The 19285-nt window shown below is 50.9% G+C and overlaps 1 protein-coding gene across 14 annotated transcripts in view; it reads left to right on the top strand.

Moving 5' to 3' along the window:
* CPAMD8 (C3 and PZP like alpha-2-macroglobulin domain containing 8) overlaps nucleotides 1–19285 on the top strand; it is a 133860-nt gene that overhangs the window by 22339 nt on the left and 92236 nt on the right. For 13 of the 14 annotated variants that reach the window (XM_011527917.2, XM_047438612.1, XM_011527922.2 and 10 more), the window contains exons 8-13: nucleotides 86–199; nucleotides 2122–2206; nucleotides 3950–4058; nucleotides 7134–7361; nucleotides 10886–11056; nucleotides 14701–14829. In XM_011527917.2, coding sequence (XP_011526219.1) covers nucleotides 86–199; nucleotides 2122–2206; nucleotides 3950–4058; nucleotides 7134–7361; nucleotides 10886–11056; nucleotides 14701–14829 — 836 coding nt within the window. The remainder of the gene's footprint in view (nucleotides 1–85; nucleotides 200–2121; nucleotides 2207–3949; nucleotides 4059–7133; nucleotides 7362–10885; nucleotides 11057–14700; nucleotides 14830–19285) is intronic. The other variant, NR_165644.1, reaches the window with a different exon arrangement.

Here is a 19285-nt window from a genome sequence, read left to right as displayed (position 1 = left end):
AGGAGCAGGGTCCTGGCTCCCTCTTCCCGTACCTCACCGTGTCTGTGGCTCTCTGAAAAAGCCCTTGCCCTCTCTCTTCACACAGGCATCACCAACATGAGCTTCCCCTTGTCCGACCAGCCTGTGTTGGGAGAATGGTTCATTTTTGTTGAAATGCAAGGCCACGCGTACAACAAGTCTTTTGAAGTTCAGAAGTATGGTAAGTTGGAGAATCTCAGGGTCTTGGGATTTCAGATCTGGGAGAAACCTTAGAAACTGGTGAAGAAGGCCGGGTGCAAGGGCTCTCGCCTGTAATCCCAGCACTTTCGGAGGCCCAGGTGGGCGGATCACTTGAGGTCAGGAGTTTGAGACCAGCCTGGCCAACATGGCGAAACCTCGTGTCTACTAAAAATACAAAAATTAGCCGGGCGTGGTGGCGCGCACCTGTGGTCCCAGCTACTTGGGAGGCTGAGGCAGGAGTATCACTTGAACCGGGAGGCAGAGGTTGCAGTGAGCCAAGATCGCACTACTGCGCTCCAGCCTGGGCGACAGGGCGAGACTCTGTCTCAAAAAAAAAAAGAAAAAGAAAAGGAAACTGGTGAAGATGGCAGTGAAGAGGTGGAGGATGACATGAGTCCCCGTTTACTGAGGGCTCATGATGGCTGGGTATAGTTTCAGGGGATGGTCCTACACTCTTACTTTTTTTTTTTTTTTGAGGCAGGGTTTCACACCCATCACCCAGGCTGGAGTGCAGTGGTGCGATCTTGGCTCACTGAAGCCTTGACTTCCCAAGTTCAAGTGATCCTCCCTCCTCAGCCTCCTGAGTTGCTGGGACTACAAGTGTGAGCCACCACACCTGGTTAATTTTTGTATTAGTAGAGACAGGGTTTCGTCATGTTGCCCAGGCTGGTCTAGAACTCCTGGTCTCAAGCAATCCTTCCGCCTCAGCCTCCCAAAGTGGACTCTTGCCTTTTATAGAAAAAAGTATTGTAGGCCAGGCATGGTGGTGGCTCACACCTGTAATCCCAACACTTTGGGAAGCTGAGGCTGGAGGATCGCTTGAGGCCAGGAGTTTGAGACCAGCCTGGACAACATAGTCCCTGTCTGTATAAAACTTTAAAACAATTATCTGGACATGGTGGCACGTGCCTGTAGTCCCCGCTACTCGGGAAGCTGAGGCGGGAGGATTGCTTGAGCCCAGGAGATCAAGGCTGCAGTGAACTGTGATTGCACCACTATTCTCCAGTTTGGGTGACAAAGTGAGACCCTGTCTCAGAAAAAAAAAAAGGTGGCCAGGCATGGCAGCTAACGTCTGTAATCCCAGCACTTTGGGAGGCTGAGGTGGGTAGATCACTAGAGGTCAGGAGTTCAAGACCAGGCTGGCCAACATGGTGAAACCCCATCTCTACTAAAAATACAAAAATTAGCCAGGCGTGGTGGCATGTGCCTGCAGTCCCAGCTACTTGGGAGGCTGAGGCAGGAGAATTGCTTGAACCAGGAGGAGGAGGTTGCAGTGAGCCAAGATCGTGCCACTGCACACCAACCTGGGAAACACAGTGACAATCTGTCTCAAAAAAAAAAAGAAAAGAAAAGAAAAGAAAAGAAAGAACGAAAAGATTCTTAGGCTCCTACAAGAGTTCTCTCAGGACCCGATTCTTTCTGGTTTACCGGCTGCTCCAGGGTGTCACCTCCGCCCCTGGTGACAAGATGGCTTGATACTCCCAGGGCTGAGTCCAGAAGCAAATGGAGAAATCAGCTCTCTGTTGCAGTCACCCTGGGGATGCCCCTTGTTGGCTCCCAGGGCCACCTCTATCCCATGCACAGACACAGGGGCTAGGAGGAGCCTCCTGGCCTCGTGTCCACCCTGGGATAGGCTGGAATCCGCCACACTCTAAGCACGTGGTCTAAAAGTGACAGGGGAGGCCCCTTGAGGAAAATGGGGTCCTAGTCCCCCAAAGATGAGAAATAGATGCAGCCCACAAAATCCCCAGGGCTGCTCAGCAGAGTGGTGTGGATGGGTACAGTGTCAACCTCGGTGGTGGCCAGGTGCTGTGGTCCTCAGACACCTTGCACCGGTGTCAGGGCTCCTGAGGCCACCTTAGGGACAGAAGCCAGCCCCTCCTCTCTGCTTGCTTTCTTCAGTGTTGCCCAAGTTTGAGCTTCTGATTGACCCGCCCCGGTATATCCAAGACCTGGACGCCTGTGAGACAGGCACTGTGCGGGCCAGGTGAGAAAGAGGGACCCCTGGGGCACACTGGGGGGGCCCTTCCCCTTCCCCAACCATCACGCTGCTCCCTCAAGGTCGTTCCCCTCCTCTGCTGCCTCCCTCCCTCCCACATGGGTGTGCCCCTCCCTTCCTGGTTCCCTCCTCCCTGGGGTGTGCCCCTCCCCTAGTGCATCTCCCTTCCTGTGACTCTCTCCAGTAGGCGCCCCCTCCTCAGGAGGTGCCCCTCCCCCTAGAGTATCTCCCTCCCCACCAGGCTCCTCCCCTGTGGGCGCCTCCTCCCTGGGGTGTCCTCCTCCCTCTAAAGTATCTCCCTCCCTGCTGGGCTCCTCCCCTGTGGGTTCCCCTCCCCAGGATGTGGCCACCCGCTAGAGCATCATCCTTTCCCGTGCCCCTCCCCTGGGGGCACCCCCTCCCTGGAGTGTACCCCTTTCCCTAGAGCATCTTCCTCCCCCTGGGCCCCTCCTCTGCCCTCCCCTTCCATCTCCCCCAACAACCGGGCTTCCCCCTCCTCCTACAGGCAGACACTTCTTCCATGGCCTCCCTGCTCCCACAAGGGTGCCCTGTGCCCCGCTCCCTCCCTAGTACTCGGTGTCTCCCTGCCACATGAGTCTCTTGCACTCTACCCACTGCCTGTCTTTGTTTCCATGCTGGTGTCCTCACCCCTATGAGCACGCCCCTGTCTCTCCAAAGCATGCCCCTCTCCCGCTGTGTATTCCTTCCTCAAGTCCTGCCCTTCCACTCTAAGTTCTTCCCTCCCCAAGGGTCTCCCCTCCCCAAAGAATGCCCTACCCCCCAGGGTGTGACCCTCCCAACCCCACCATGTTCCCCTCTCCCCCAAGGCTGCTCCCCGCCCTCTGCAGGCCTCCCTGGCATCCAACAGCACCCCCGCCAGTGTGCTGACCCGAGAGGGGTTGATCCTTGTTTTTTTTTTTTTTTTTTTTTTTTCAGACGGAGTCTTACTCTGTCGCCCAGGCTGGAGTGTAGTGACAGTCTCAGCTCTCTGCAACCTCTGCCTACCGGGCTCAATTGATTCTCCTGCCTCAGCTTCTCCTAGTAGCTGGGATCACAAGCATGTGCCACCACACCCAACTAATTTTTGTATTTTTAGTAGAGACAGAGTTTCACCATGTTGGCCAGGCTGGTCTCGAACTCCTGACCTCAAGTGATCTGCCCACCTTGGCCTCCCAAAGTGCTGGGATTACAGGCATAAGCCACCATGCCCAGCCTGCACTCTCTCATTTTGCTCCTGTTCCCCATCCACCAGCATTCCCTCTGCATCAGGAGTGACATACAGACATTTAAGTTTCACTATCACCCCTGAGAGGGTAGTTTGAGTCCCATTCTCTGGGTGAGGAAACAGGCTCAGAGAAGTTCGGTCCTTGGTTCAAAGTCGAGCTTAATAGGGCGCTTAGGCTCAGGTGCCTCTCAGTCGCTCATGCCTCTGCACTACTCTGCTCCAGAGGTGGCACCAACCTAGCCTTCTCAGTTCCAGAGTTCCTCTCTGACCCTTGGTCTCTTTTTCTGTCCATCTGGAGGCTTGGTGCAGAGGATCGGAGGGCCTTGGCATCTTCTGTCCCGATTCCAGGCTGCAGGGAGGGCTGTCAGGACAGGATGCAGGGTGTGGAGGGAGCTGCATCCATCACTGTACTAGTGGCCACACTATGTCAACCTGGCCTTCCTGAGGCTGGGCCCTCCCTGCCATCTTGGCTGTGAAATTGAGCATGCTTTATCCTTTTGTTCCAGGTATACCTTTGGGAAACCTGTGGCTGGTGCCTTAATGATCAACATGACTGTTAATGGTGTAGGGTACTACAGCCACGAGGTGGGACGCCCTGTCCTCAGAACAACCAAGGTGAGAAACAGGGACCCCTTCTACCCCCTGACCCAACCCCCAGGTTCACCTCCACCAGCACACATTTTATTTTACTTTCTCTTATTGTTATTATTTTATTTACTGCCTTTAAAAAGTTTTTGAATAGAGACAGGATCTCACTATGTTGCCCAGGCTTGTCTTGAACTCCTGGGCTCAAGCGATCCTCTCGCCTTTGCCCCCAAAAGTGCTGGGATGACAAGTGTGAGCCACCGCTGTTTTACTTTCTAAAACAGTTATATGGCAGGGATTTTTCTGATGATAAAATTCCTGCAGGCTGAATATAGAGACTTTAGAAAATATAAAAAGGAAGAAAATAAAGATAACTTGTTCTCCAATAGGTGGACATGACCACTATCGATATTTTGATGTGTTTCCTCACAGGTTATTGTAAGTAAAGTTAAAAAAACACCAATTTGGCTGGGCATGGTGGCTCACACCCGTAATCCCAGCACTTTGGGAGGCCAAGGCGGGCGGATCACTTGAGGCCATGAATTCGAGACCAGCCTGACCACCATGGCCTGGGCGACAAAGTGAGACTCCATCTCAAAAAACAAACAAAAAACAAAAAAACACTAATAAACACTAATTTTATTGCCTGGAGTCCCAGCTCTTAATATTTGGAAGGTAGAGGCAGGAAGATCTCTTGAGCTCAGGAGTTCAAGGCCAGCCTGGGCAACATAGTGAGATCCCATCTCTAAAATAAAATAAAAACATAAACAATTTTATTGAGATATCATTCACATAGCATACAATTCACCCATGTAGAGTGTACAGCTTGATGGTTTTCTTTTCTTTTTTTTTTTTTTTGGAGATGGAGTCTTGCTCTGTTGCCCAGGCTGGAGTGCAATGGCGTGATCTCGGCTCACTGCAAGCTCCGCCTCCTGGGTTCATGCCATTCTCCTGCCTCAGCCTCCCCAGTAGCTGGGACTATAGGTGCCCACCACAACACCCGGCTAATTTTTTTTTTTGTATTTTTAGTAGAGACGGGGTTTCACTGTATTAGCTAGGATGGTCTCGATCTCCTGACGTCGTGATCCACCTGCCTCGGCCTCCCAAAGTGCTGGGATTACAGGCGTGAGCCACTGCGCCTGGCCACAGCTTGATGGTTTTCATATAGTTGCAGAGTTGTGCAACCATGGCTGTTATCCAATTTTAGAATTGTTCCACCATCCTTCCATACATCCTTCATGTCCTTTTGCAGAGAATCCTCATTTCCCTCCTCCTGTCTCTGGCAACTACTATCTGTTTTCTGTCTCTGTAGATTTGCCTGTTCTGGACATTTCTGTGAATGAATCATATGCTATATGTCCTTTTGTGTCTGGCTTCTCTCACTCAGCATCATGTTTTTGATGTTTGTCTACATCGTAGCATGATCAATGCTTCATTCCTTTTTTATGGCTGCATCATATTCCCTGGTACAGATGGACCACAATGTGTTTATCCCTTCATCCGCTGGTGGACATTTGGGTTGTTTCTGCTTTTTGGCTATTATGTCTCATGCTACTATGAACATCCCTGTGCAAGTTTTTCTGTGGACCTACATTTTTGTTTCTCTTGGGTTCTTTCCTAGGAGCGGAATTGCTAGGTCAGAGGGTAACACTATGTGTGACCTTTTGAGGAACTGCCAAATGGTCAATGTGGCTGCACTATTTTATATTCCCACCTGTTTAAAGTTTTGTAACCTTTTTTGGTCTTTCAGCATAATGTTACATTGTGAGTGGGCTACAGTACAACAGACACCCACCTTCCTGGAGATTCCCATCCCTTTGTAGGTGCCCGGACATTAAGCCTTTCAGCACCGGCTCCTCCCCACCTCCCACCCAAAGCTCCTTCTCAGTCCCTTTCCCACCTGAGACACATCTGCTCCAATGGGCTCCCCTCTCTTATGTCTGAGATATCTTTAATTTAATTTAATTTAATTAATTTATTTATTGAGATGGAGTCTCTCTCTGTCTCCCAGGCTGGAGTGCAGTGGCACGATCTTGGATCACTGCAGCCTCTGCCTCCTGGGTTCAGGCAATTCTCCTGCCTCAGCCTCCCATGTAGCTGTGATTACAGGCATGTGCCACCGTGTTGGGATAATTTTTGTATTTTTAGTAGAGACAGGGTTTTGCCATGTTGGCCAGGCTGGTCTTGAACTCCTGACCTCAAGTGATCTGCCGCTGCTGGCCTTCCAAAGTGCTGGGATTACAGGTGTGCACCATCACACCCAGCCCATCTCTCTGCTCTCTGAGGCTTCTCTTCCATGGATTGGAAACCATAAACCCCTACCTTTCCCATTCCTGACACTGGCACCTTGGAGAATCCCAGCCATTCTCCTGGGAGGCTACCAGCTGATGGTCTTTGACTTAGTTCTCTCATTTACGGAGTAATTTACTCCACAGCTCTTTCTGAATGAGGATTATTTGCCAAGTCCCAGGGTGGGATCCTGAGATAGGAATTGAATGAGGGAGTTCTGGTGCCCCAGAGTGAGGCTGAGCAGGTTCAGCTGCCCCCTCTGTTGCCTGGGCTGTGGGAGATTGTGTCAGCATGGGAATCTCTTTCCTCTTTTTTTTTTTCTTAACCCAGGCTGGAGTGCAGTGGCACAATTCAGGCTCACCTCAACCTCTGCCTCCTGGGTTCAAGCGATTCTCATGCCTCAGCCTCCCAAGTATCTGGGATTACAGGTGCCTGTCACCACGCCCAGCTATTTTTTTACATTTTTACTAGAGGCGGGGTTTCGCCATGTTGGCTAGACTGATATCGAACTCCTGACCTCAAGTGACCCGCCCGCCACAGCCTCCCAAAGTGCTGGGATTACAGGCGTGAGCCACCGCACCCAGCCTCTTTCCTCTTCTGCCCAATGGAGCCAACATCCATCTTCCCTGGGATGTTGTCCAGATCCAGTGAGGGACCCTCTGCATGGTCCCGTGGCATAGATTGGGTATGCCACCAAGTGACCCCTGGCCCTCCAAGCAGCTGAAGAGTCTTGCACCTCAGGTGTGTGTTTCAGGGACATCCCTCAAAGACACTCCAACCCTGAGTGAGCACGGGCTGTGTTTTTCCTCCCTCCAGATCCTCGGCTCCCGGGACTTCGACATCTGCGTGAGGGACATGATCCCAGCGGACGTCCCTGAGCACTTCCGGGGCAGGGTCAGCATCTGGGCCATGGTGACCAGTGTGGACGGGAGCCAGCAGGTCGCGTTCGATGACTCCACCCCCGTGCAGAGGCAGCTGGTGGACATCCGGTACTCCAAGGACACGAGGAAGCAGTTCAAGCCGGGCCTGGCCTACGTGGGGAAGGTAACTTGGGGGTGACTGTGCTGCCTCCCGCCCAAGGACCACCGTGAAACCACCACCACTAGCCACTAGCTCTGCAGTGGTGACTCAGCTGAAAACGGATCCCCTGACATAACCTTTGCGGAGAGTGGAGAGGGCTGGTGTTCCAGGTGAGGGGCAGGGGACATTTTCCTCCACGGGAAAGGACAATCTACTCTATTCCACTTGGACAGACATCTGAGTAGCCATTTATTAAAGCAACTGCTCTAAGGCAGTCCTGTTTCTTCAATGGGTTCTTTTTTTTTTTTTTTTTTTTTAGAGATAGTCACACTCCATCGCCCAGGCTGGAGTGCAGTGGCTCCATCTCGGCTCACTGCAACCTCCGTCTCCCAGGTTCAAGTGATTCTCCTGCCTCAGCCTCCCAAGTAGCTGGGATTACAGGAACATACTACCAAGCCCAGTTAATTTTTGTATTTTTAGTAGAGACGGGGTTTCGCCATGTTGGCCAGGCTGGTCTCGAACTCCTGGCCTCAAGTGAACTTCCCGCCTTGGCCTCCCAAAGTGCTGGGGTTACAGGCGTGAGCCATCACTCCTGGCCCTTCACTGGGTTGATTTTATCCCCTGAGGACCTAAGTTGAGAGCCCTGCAAAGGTAGACCTTCTGTTCCTGAGACTGACAGGTGCAGACCCATGTGACATTTTGAACGAGCCTCTGCCTCCCACCCACCACTCAAGTCTTATGCACGGTAAATTTTGAGGTGTCCAGATGTCATGATCCTTATATATGTTTTCTTCTTAGAGACAGGGTTTTGTTCTGTCGCCCAGGCTGGAGTGCAGTGGTGAGATCATAGCTCACCACAGCCTCGACATCCTGGATTCAAGCAATCCGCCTGCCTCAGCATCCTGGGTAGCTGGGACTGCAGGCATGAGCCACCACGCCCAGCAAATTTTTTTATTTTTAAATTTTTATTTATTTATTTATTTTGAGACAAGAGTCTCGCTCTGTCGCCCAGGCTGGAGTGCAGTGGCATGATCTCGACTAATTGCAACCTCTGCCTCCTGGGTTCAAGTGATTCTCCTGCCTCAGCCTCCAGAGTAGCTGGGATTACAGGCATGCCCCACCATACCCCACTAATTTTTGTATTTTTAGTAGAGACGGGGTTTCACCACATTGGCCAGGCTGGTCTTGAACACCTGACCTCAGGTGATCCACCTGCCTCAGCCTCCCAGAGTGCTGAGATTGCAAACAGGAGCCACCGCACCTAGTCAATTTTTTAATTTTTTGTAGAGATGGGATCTTGCTGTGTTGGCCAGACTGGTCTTGAACTCCTGGGCTCAAGCAGATCTCCTACCTCAGACCCCCAAAGTGCTGGGATTGCAGATGTGAGCCACTACACCCAGTCATTATTCTTATTTTAACTGTTAAACTGGGGTAGGCTGGGCACGGTGGCTCATGACTATAATCCCAGCACTTTGGGAGGCCCAGGTGGGCGGATGACCTGAGGTCAGGACTTCAAGACCAACCTGGCCAACATGGTGAAATACTGTCTCTACTGAAAATACAAAAATTAGCCAGACATGATGGTGGACACCTGTAATGCCAGTGACTCAGGAGGCTGAGGCACGATAATTGCTTGAACCTGGAGGCGGAGGTTGCAGTGAGCCAAGATCACACCACTGCACTCCAGCCTGGGAGACAGAGTGAGACTTCGTCTCAAATAAAAAAACAAAAAACAAAAAACAAAAACAAACCTGGGGCATCTTCACCCCAATTGCAGCAGCAGGAGTGGGGCAAGGCCAACAGAGCCCAGTGTCATGCAAGGGGAAAGTGGGCCACATCCCTGGCCCTGCATCTGTCTGCACCCAGTTCCCTTTTGCCGTCCATGAGTGATGCTGGCTGGCTGTCCTAACACTGAGTTCTGACCCTCTTGTTCTGCTTTGGAACCTCCTTTCTCTTCTCCATGCCAGTGTTGGAGCCACCTCTATCCCATGCACAGACACATCTCCTGTGTCCCTGGCTTTGAGGGCCCCAGCTTGAGTAGAAACTAAAGTACCTCGTGCGGGGTCAGAATGTGTATGAAGAAGAGGTTTAAGGCTACAAATTTGGTAAAGAGCGTTTCACATATGACAGAAAATACCTACCATCTGCATTCAAGAAAGGAGTGGTTAGGCTGGGCATGGTGGCTCATGCCTGTAGTCCCAGTGCTTTGGGAGGCCGAGGCAAGAGGACCACTTGAGGCCAAGGCAAGAGGACCACTTGAGGCCAAAAGTGTGAGACCAGCCTGGGCAACATAGTGAGATCCAGTCTCTACAAAAAATAAAAAGAAATAGGCCAGACGTTTGTGGCTCACACTTTGGGAGACCAAGGTGGGAGGATTGCTTGAGACTGGGAGTTTGAGACCAGCCTGGGCAATAGAGCAAGACCCCAGCTCTACAGATTTTTTTTTAAAATTAGCCAGGCATGGTATTGTACACCTGTGGTCCCAGCTATCAGGAGGATGAGGCAGGAGGATTGCGAGCCCAGGAGGTAGAGGCAGCAGTGAGCTATGATCGGGCCACTTCACTCCAGCCTGGGCAACAGAGCAAGACTCTGTCTCTCAAAAAAAAAAAAAAAAAAAAAGGGAGTGGTTAATGAAGATCATGTGGGCTGAATCCTGGTTCACTCCGTCACCAGATACCTGCACAGCTGAGGGCTGTTTTAGGGTTCTTCAGAGGCTACAATCTGTGCTCCTTTTAAAACATCTATGTCTGCCTCATTCTAGCTGGCTCTCCAACCAGTCTGAATGGGTGAGGTTTAAGTGTCACACTGAACTGTCCATACCCTGGTATGGCATCAGACTAATGACTAGCACATGTAATTTGTACTTCATGACCTCTTTGCCAAATCCAAGGGCATGAAGGTCTACCCTTATGTTTCTTCTAAGAATGTTATAGCTTTAGCTGTTACATTTAGGTCTGTGATCCATTTGAGTTTATTTTTGTATATGGTGTGAGGTAGGGATGCAACTTCATTTAAAACTTTTTTTCTCTTAAGAGACAGGGTCTCATTCAGTCACTCAGGCTGGAGTGCAGTGGCACCATCATAGCTCTCTGCAGCCTTGAAGTCCCAGACTCAAGTGATCCTCCCACCTCAGCCTCCTGAATAGTTGGGGCTATAGGTGCATGCCACCACACCTGAAATTTTAAAGTTTTTTGTAGTGAGGTCTCACTATGTTACCCAGGCTGGTCTGGAACTCCTGGCCTCACATGGGATTATAGGTGTGAGCCACTGCATCCGGCTTCCATGTCTGCCTTGGAAGCCTCTTGAGTAGCTGGGACCACAGGCACACGCCACCACTCCTGGACCTGTGAGTCCTTCTTTTTTGTTCCCTTTAAGGATTGTTTTTGCGATTTGGAACTCGTTGCGATGCCCTGTGAATTTCAGGAGCAGTTTGTCAATTTCTACAAAGAAGCCTGCTGGGATTCCAGTGGGGATTGCGTTGATTCTGCAGATCAGTTTGGGGAGCATGGCCGTCTTAACTCTGTTGTGTCTTGGGTGACCTTTTCTAGGTGGAGCTATCCTACCCCGATGGCAGCCCAGCTGAGGGGGTGACGGTCCAGATTAAGGCAGAGCTGACACCAAAGGATAACATCTACACCAGTGAAGTTGTGTCCCAGCGTGGACTAGTGGGGTTTGAAATCCCCTCCATCCCCACGTCAGCCCAGCACGTGTGGCTGGAGGTGGGTGAGTCCCGTGGACCCTTGTTATTCAGCCAGCAGGTATGGACTTGGGGCCTCCCCCAGGCTGGGTGCAGGCACCTGATCAGTGGGCCTGGAGCCCGTCCCAGCCCTGCAGGAGTACACATTCCACTAGACAGTGGGATGGACAACACAGCCATCCTGGGATCAGGTGGAAGGTCAAAGAGAGATAAGGGTGCCTGGACCAGTTATGCCAAAGGAGTCTTGTCCAAGGAGATCTCTCCAAATGGACTCCTGACCATGGGGAAGTCAGCCAGGCTGCTTCTGGGCGGGTGGAACAGCCTGGGTGCAGGTTCAGAGGCAGACCGTGATTATACTGTAATCAGAGTCTCACAAGTGCTCAACTACATTGAGCCATTTTGGAAAGAGATTGGGGAGAGAGCCAATGGTGGTTTCCGCCACCTCACGGGTGCTCAGTGGAAGGCAGTGTCAGGCGAAAGAGTGATCTGATTTTTTTTTTTTTTTAAGAGACAGGGTCTCGCTCTGTTGCCCAGGCTGCAGTGCAGTGGCATCATCATAGCTCACTGCAGCCTCTAACTGCTGGGCTAAAGGGATCCTCCTGAGTCAGCCTCCCAAGTACCTGAGATTACACGTGCATGCCCGTAATTAGCACCTCACCCAGCTAATTTTTAAATTTTTCTGTAGAGGCTGGGCACAGTGGCTCATGCTTGTAATCCCAGCACGTTGGGAGGCCAAGGCAGATGGATCACCTGAGGTCAGGAGTTTGAGACCAGCCTGGCCAACATGGCAAAACCCCATCTCTACTAAAAATACAAAAATTAGCCAGGTGTTGTGGCAGGTGCCTGTAATCTCAGCCACTCTGGAGACTGAGGCAGGAGAATTGCTTGAACCCGGGAGGTGGAAGTCGCAGCGAGCCAAGATTGCGCCACTGCACCCCAGCCTAGGCAACAGAGTGAGACTCCATCTCAAAAACAAACAAACAAGCAAATAAATAAATAATAAATTTTTCTGTAGAGATGGGGTCTTGCTATGTTGCCCAGGCTGGTCTCAAACTCCTGGACTCAAGCCATCCTTCCACCTCAGCCTCCCAAAGCATAGGGATTATAGGCCATGAGCTGCCATGTCTGGCCTGATCTGATTTTCGATACCCAGTGATCACTCCAGAGTCTTTAGTTGGGGGTGGTTCAGGGCGGGCCCAGGCAGGCAGACAGGAGGTGAGGACAGAGAGGTCTCCAAACTGGAGCTCTTGAGGAAGTAGATCCAGAAGGCCTTAGTGTCCCATCATCAGGGGAGGCAAGAACAGGAGGGACTGGAGAGGATGTCCCAGCCCTTGGCTTTGGGAACTGGCAGTGGACCTGGCGGCCCTGCAGAGAGTAAATACGTAGATGGGAACTGAGGACACTGTGGTCACTTTGTCCTCTGTGGGCACCATGTCCTAAAGGTTTTAACCACTGAAGCCACTGCCTTGCCACTTGACATTCACAGCCAGATGGGTTCACGCTTTCTTGTGTTGGACCTGCTGCTCAACACACAGCACAGCTGTTTGGTCACCTGGGCCACTGTTCTGTTGTTTTTTTTTTTTGATACAGAGTCTTGCTCTGTCGCCCAAGCTGGAGTGCAGTGGTGCAATCTTGGCTCACTGCAACCTCGGCCTCCCAGGTTCAAGCGATTATCCTGCCTCAGCCTCCCGAGTAGCTGGGATTACAGGCGCCCCCCACCACGCCCAGCTAATTTTTGTATTTCTAGTAGAGATGGGGTTTCACTATATTGGTCAAGCTGGTCTTGAACTCCTGACCTCAGGCAATCCACCTGCCTCGGCCTCCCAAAGTGCCAGGATTACAGGTGTGAGCCACCGTACCCGGCCCACTGTCCTGTTTTAAGAGAGTGACCACAGCCTGGCATCTCTCAGACTCCTTGAGGAACCAGAGATCTGCCCTGCCCATCCCCTACCAGGTGGGAGATTGCAGTAACTTCTGACACCAGCTACCTGGAGCTGGGCCACACTTCACAGGTGGTAGGCACAGCCCTCTCCACAAGACTACCCTAAATTCTGACACCAGCTGCAAGTCCAGGGGTCCCCGGGCCACCTGTGCTTCCCACCTACTGGCTGCAAATTCCACTACCCTACCACCTTTTAATTACAGCTTTACCATAGCAAAATGACATAAATTAGAACCAACCAAAGAGAGAGATGCATAGGGTGAGGTCTGGGCAATTCCCAGATTGGAAGCTTTGTGTGTTCTCTGCACAGAACCAGGATATGTAATCCCCACAAGCTGAGCATTGCTAAGCAGGAAAGCTCACCTGAGCTTTGGTGTCCAAAGTTTTTTGTGGGGGCCTCATTTCGTCTGCATGATTGATTAAATCATTGGCCATGGGACTAATCTCAATCTCCTGCCCTCTCCCTTCCCTGGAGATGGGCTGATAACCTGTGGCTCAAAGCCCAGCCATCTAATCACACAACTGGCCTTTCTGGTGTGGCCCGTTTATACCCTATTTAGAGTCTACCTACTTCCCAGGAGCCAGAGACAGAGGCAGGCCAACTTTTTTTTTTTTTTTTTTTTTTTTTTTTTGAGACAGAGTTTTGCTCTTATTGCCCAGGCTGGAATGCAATGGCGTGATTCCAGCTCACTGCAACCTCTGCCTCCCAGGTTCAAGTGATTCCCCTGCCTCAGCCTCCCAAGTAGCTGGGACTACAGTTGCCGGCCACCATGCCCGGCTAATTTTTTGTATTTTAGTAGAGACAGGGTTTCACCATGTTGGCCAGGATGGTCTCGATCTCCTGACCTCGTGATCTGCCCACCTTGGCCTCCCAAAGTGGTGGGATTACAGGCGTGAGCCATCGCGCCTGGCCCAACTTCTTTTTAAAATTATTTCAGAGATACGGTCTAGCTCTGTTGTCCAGGCTGGAGTGCAATGGTGTGATCATAGCTAAATTGCAGCTTTGAACTCCTGGACTCAAGTGATCCTCCTGCTTCAGCCTCCCCTAGTAGCTGAGTCTCCAGGCACAAATTTTTTGTAGAGACTGGATCTTGCTATATTGCCCAGGCTGGTCTTGAACTCCTGGGCCCAAGTGATCCTCACACCTCTGCCTCCCAAAATGCTGAGATTATAGGTATGCACCCACTCTGCCTGACCCCCAATACCCTTTGACCAATCTTGGATGCTTGCTTCTTTTTTTTTTGAGTCAGAGTCTTGCTCTGTTGCCAGCCTGGAGTGCAGTGGTATGATCTCAGCTCACTGCAGCCTCTGCCTCCTGGGTTCAAGCAATTCTTGTGCCTCAGCCTCCTGAGTAGCTGGGATTACAGGCATGCGCCACTACTCCTGGCTAATTTTTGTATTTTTTCAGTAGAGACGGGGTTTCTCCATGTTGGCCAGGCTGGTCTCGAACTCCTGGCCTCAGGTGATCCACCTGCCTCGGCCTCCCGAAGTGCTGTGATTACAGGTGTGAGTCACTGTGCCCAGCTGGACACTTGCTTCTTGATGCTAGGAAGAATGGGCTGGACAACTGGCTATTACTCCCTGAGGATTGGGGAGGGGGTTCCCCAAAGGGATATTGGAGCATGAGAGGGTGTTTCTTCTGGGCAGAGCAAGCAGAAGCATCCCCAAGACCCCCTTTCTGCTCTTGGCACTCGGGTGTTGATCTAAGCATCTTCTCTTCTCAGACCAAGGTGATGGCACTGAACGGGAAGCCTGTGGGGGCTCAGTACCTGCCCAGCTACCTCTCCCTCGGCAGCTGGTACTCCCCCAGCCAGTGCTACCTGCAGCTGCAGCCACCCTCCCACCCACTGCAGGTAAGATTTTCAGGAGCTACCCTTCCTGGGCCATGCGGGATCCAAAAAGCAGCATGAGCCAGGTGCTGTGGCTCATGCCTGTAATCCCAGCATTTTGGGAGGCCGAGGCAGGCGGATCACTGGAGGTTAGGATTTCGAGACCAGCCTGGCCAGCATGGTGAAACCCCATCTCTACTAAAAATACAAAAATTAGCTGAGTGTGGTGGTGCGTGCCTGTAATCCCAGCTACTCGGGAGGCTGAGGCAGGAGAATTGCTTGAACCCGGGAGGCAGAGGTTGCAGTGAGCTGAGATCACACCACTGCACTCCAGCCTGGGCGACAAAGCCAGACTCCTCAAAAAAGACACAGCATGAGTGAGCCCCTAAGGCAGCAGTAGCCAGCCTTTTTGGCACCAAGGATTGGTTTTGTGGAAGACAATTTTTCCACAGACGGGGGCACGGGCACGGGGGATGGTTTCAGGATGATTCAAGGACATTATGTTTATTTTGCACTTCATTTCTATTATTATGACATTGCAATATATAATGAAACAATGATACAACTCACCATCATGTAGAATCAGTGGGAGCCCTGAGCTTGTTTTCCTGCAACTAGACAGTCCCGTCTGGGGGTGGTGGGAGACAGTGACAGATCATCAGGCATGAGATTCTCATTAGGGGCATGCAACCTAGATCCCGTGCAAGCACAGTTCACAATAGGGTTCACACTCCTGAGAGAATCTAATGCTGCCACTGCTGATGTGACAGGAGGTGGAGCTCACATGGTAATATGAGTGATGCGAGCGGCTGTAAATACAGATGAAGTTTTGATTGTCAGCCTACTACTCACCTCCTGCTGTGTGACCTGGTTCCTAACAGGCCATGAATCAGTACTGGTCCATGGCCCTGGGGGTTGGGGACCCCTGCTCTAAGGGACCTAATACTACAGCTGACACAGGGATCCCTTATCTCCCCAGCAAGGGGAGAATTCTGCAGAATGCATGCATGCATTACTATTTGTTTCTTTTCTTTCTTTTTTTTTTTGTTTTGTTTTTGAGGTGGAGTCTCACTCTGTCAGCCAGGCTGGAGTGCAGTGGCACGATCTCAGCTCACTGCAACTTCCGTCTCCAGGGTTCAAGTGATTCTCCTGCCTCAGCCTCTGGAGTAGCTGGGATTACAGGTGCCCACCACAATGCCTGGCTAATCTTTGTATTCTAGTAGAGACGGGGTTTCACCATGTTGGCCAGGCTGGTCTTGAACTTCTGACCTCAAGTGATCTGCCCACCTTGGCCTCCCAAAATGCTGGGATTACAGGCGTGAGCCACCACGCCCGGCTCGTTGCTATTTATTTGTTATGGACATTTAGGCTGTGGCCCAGGGCTGACAATGATGATCACCACTCTGCCCCAGGGCACCACTGCACCCAGACCTGACATAGAGCTGCTGCTATGGGGCCAGATTCCCCACTGCCTTGAGCCTTCCCTTAGTGCAGAGGCCCTGGGAGTTTCTCCACACAGACACTCTGAGTGCAAAGACAAGGTAAATTTAGAGCCGTGTCTGCCATTCATTTTTCCTGGGTCTATTATTTTGCAATTCTGATTACATAAGGTGTGTGTGTGTATTTTTCTTTTAATTAATAGACTTAATTTTTTAAGAGCAGTTGTAACTTTATAAAAACCTTGAACAAAAAGTAGAGTTCCCGACCGGGCGTGGTGGCTCACACCTGTAACCTTGGCACTTTGGGAGGCTGAGGCGGGAGGATTGCTTGAGCCCAGGAGTTTGAGACCAGCCTGGGCAACATGGTGAAATCACATCTCTATCAAAACAAAAACAAAAACAAAAAAACCCCAGCCGGATGTGGTGGTGCATGCCTGTAGTCCCAATTACTCAAGAGGCTGAGGCAGGAGGATCACTTGAGCCCGGGAGATTGGGACCGCAGTGAAACATGATCGTGCCACTGTACTCCAGCCTGGGTGACAGAGCGAGACCCTGTCTCAAAACTAAACTTAACTAAACTTTATCTATAGCTTACTATTGGCCAGAGTCAATCAACACAGATTTTGTACTTTCTATGCATGATATACTGTATTCTTACAATAATGTAAGCTACAGGAAGGAAAATATTATTAAGAAAATCATAAGATTTTCTTACGCTGGCAGGCGCAGGTAAAAAAAATCATAAAGAAGAGAAAATATCTTGACTGTTCGTGAAGTGGGAATGGATCATTGTAAAGGTCTTCTTCCTTGTCATCTTCACGTTCAGTAGGCTGAGGAGGAGGAGGAAGAGGAGAGGGGGTCCTGCTGTCTTGCTTGGGCAGAGGTGGAAGAAAATCCACACATCAGTGTTGTGGGCAGTTCAAACCTGTATTTCTCAAGGGTCAACTGTATATATGTGCATATATATGGATATGCTGTGTACATGTGTGTTCATAGACATCTAGATACCCACATATACATATATATATATATATATATATATATATATTTTTTTTTTTTTTTTTTTTTTTTTTTTGACAGAGTCTCTGTCTCCCAGGCTGGAGTGCAGTGGCACAATCTCGGCTCACTGCAACCTCCATCTCCTGGGTTCAAGCACTTCTCCTGCCTCAGCCTCCCGAGTAGCTGGGATTACAGGCACCTGCCACCATGCCTGGCTAATTATTTTTGTATTTTTAGTAGAGACAGGGTTTCACCATGTTGACCAGGGTGGTCTCGAACTCCTGGCCTCAGGTGATCCACCCTCTTCGGCCTCCCAAAGTGTTGGGATTACAGGCGTGAGCCACCGCGCCTGGCCATACACATCTATATTTAAGATACATCACCCCTCTGTTAACTTTGTGGACTGGTGGCAGGCTCACTGGCTGGGCTGTTTGCATCCTGGCCGCAATCCCAGCAGAGCCTCTGGCTCAAGCTATAGCCCCAGCCTTGGCAGAAATGTCACCCCTAATGGAAACCAGTTGCCATCACAGCGCCCAGGGCCCTACCAGCCCATAAACCTCTCACACTCCTTTTCTGATCATATCGAGGCCCCTGGGGTTCAGCTTGGAGGAATCGTGGCGCCAAGGCTGCCTGTTTCCTGGGATTAACAGCCCTTTGCAGAGGTTGTAAGAATGAGAAGTCAGACAGGATCATGCCCAGCTTGGCTGAACACACTGTTCTTCTTGTAATTCCATTAAACCAGTGGTGCAGGGTGGGGACGCTGGTGCTGGCCTCCTCCTCAGGGGACAGGAAGGAACCTTGTGTTCTCAGCTGGCCAGACTGTTGTTCTGATTAGGGGGAGACCTGGCTCTGTCACTCAGATTTTGCTCCCCGGGTGAATCTCAATCCTGTTTGAGGTGGCTCAGAAACCCCAGCGCGTCCTACCCACCAAACTGCCATGAGGGGCCCGGGCACAACCTCAGGGCATGGAGGGAAGATGGGTTCATGCTGGGGCCAGGCTGGGCATGGTGCAGGGACCTCTTCCTCTTCTTCTAGCGCCAGGGCCCCGGCAGGGGGGAACTGGGGGGCTCCACTCCCCACATCTTGGCACCCATCCTTCTGAACCTGTTTTGCTTGGTGAATGGGGGCGCTCACTCCAATCTTTTAAGGTTGTTTTGATGCCATAAATTTAGTAAAGAAGAGGAGAAAGGTTTGTGCTCTCCTTTTCCCCCCAAGATCTCAAGCAGAAGGGGACTTCTGTTTGGGTGTCTTTTTATAAGGGGGACATTAATAAATTTAGAGTGAAATTGAAAAATGTTAATATAATAAACAACCATGAGACTTTCACCTAGATTTATAAATTAATGCTTTGCCTATATCCTTTCATTCATCCCTCCATCCACCCTCCATCTCTCTCTCCATCCCTCCATCTGTCCCTCTCTTCATCCCTCCATCCATCTATCCTCTCTCCCTCCATTCATTCACCCTTCCTCCCTCCCTCCACCCATCCATCCACCTACTACCCTTTATCCACTCATCTTCCCTCCATCCATCCACCCTTCATCCATCCATCCATCCTCCATCTATCTATTCATCCATCCATCCACCCTCCCTCTGCGCCTCCCTTCATCCATCCATCATCCATCCATCCATTTACTCTCCCTCCCTCCTTTCTTCCTTCCCTTCCTTCCTTTCTCCACCCATCTATCCACCCACTACCCCTATCCATTTATCATCCATCCATCCATCCTTCCGTCTGCCCTTCATCCACCCTTCATCCATCCATCCATCCATCCATCTACCCTCTCTCCCTCCTTCTTTTCCTCCTTTCTTTCTTTCCTCCACCCATCCATCCACCCACTACACTTACCTATTTATCTACCCTCCATCCATCCATCCATCCATCCGCCCTTCATCCATTCATCCACCCTTCATCCATCCATCCATACATGCACCCTTCATCCATCCATTCATCCACTCTCCCTTCATCCATTCTCCCTCTATCCCTCCCTTCATCCATCCATCCATCTGCCAATTCACGCATCCATCTATTTCTCTACACA

Source organism: Homo sapiens, chromosome 19 (genome assembly GCF_000001405.40).
Source record: "Homo sapiens chromosome 19, GRCh38.p14 Primary Assembly".
Lineage (NCBI taxonomy): Eukaryota > Metazoa > Chordata > Mammalia > Primates > Hominidae > Homo > Homo sapiens.
Note: the sequence above shows the minus strand (reverse complement) of the source record. Positions and strands in the feature narration are given on the sequence as shown.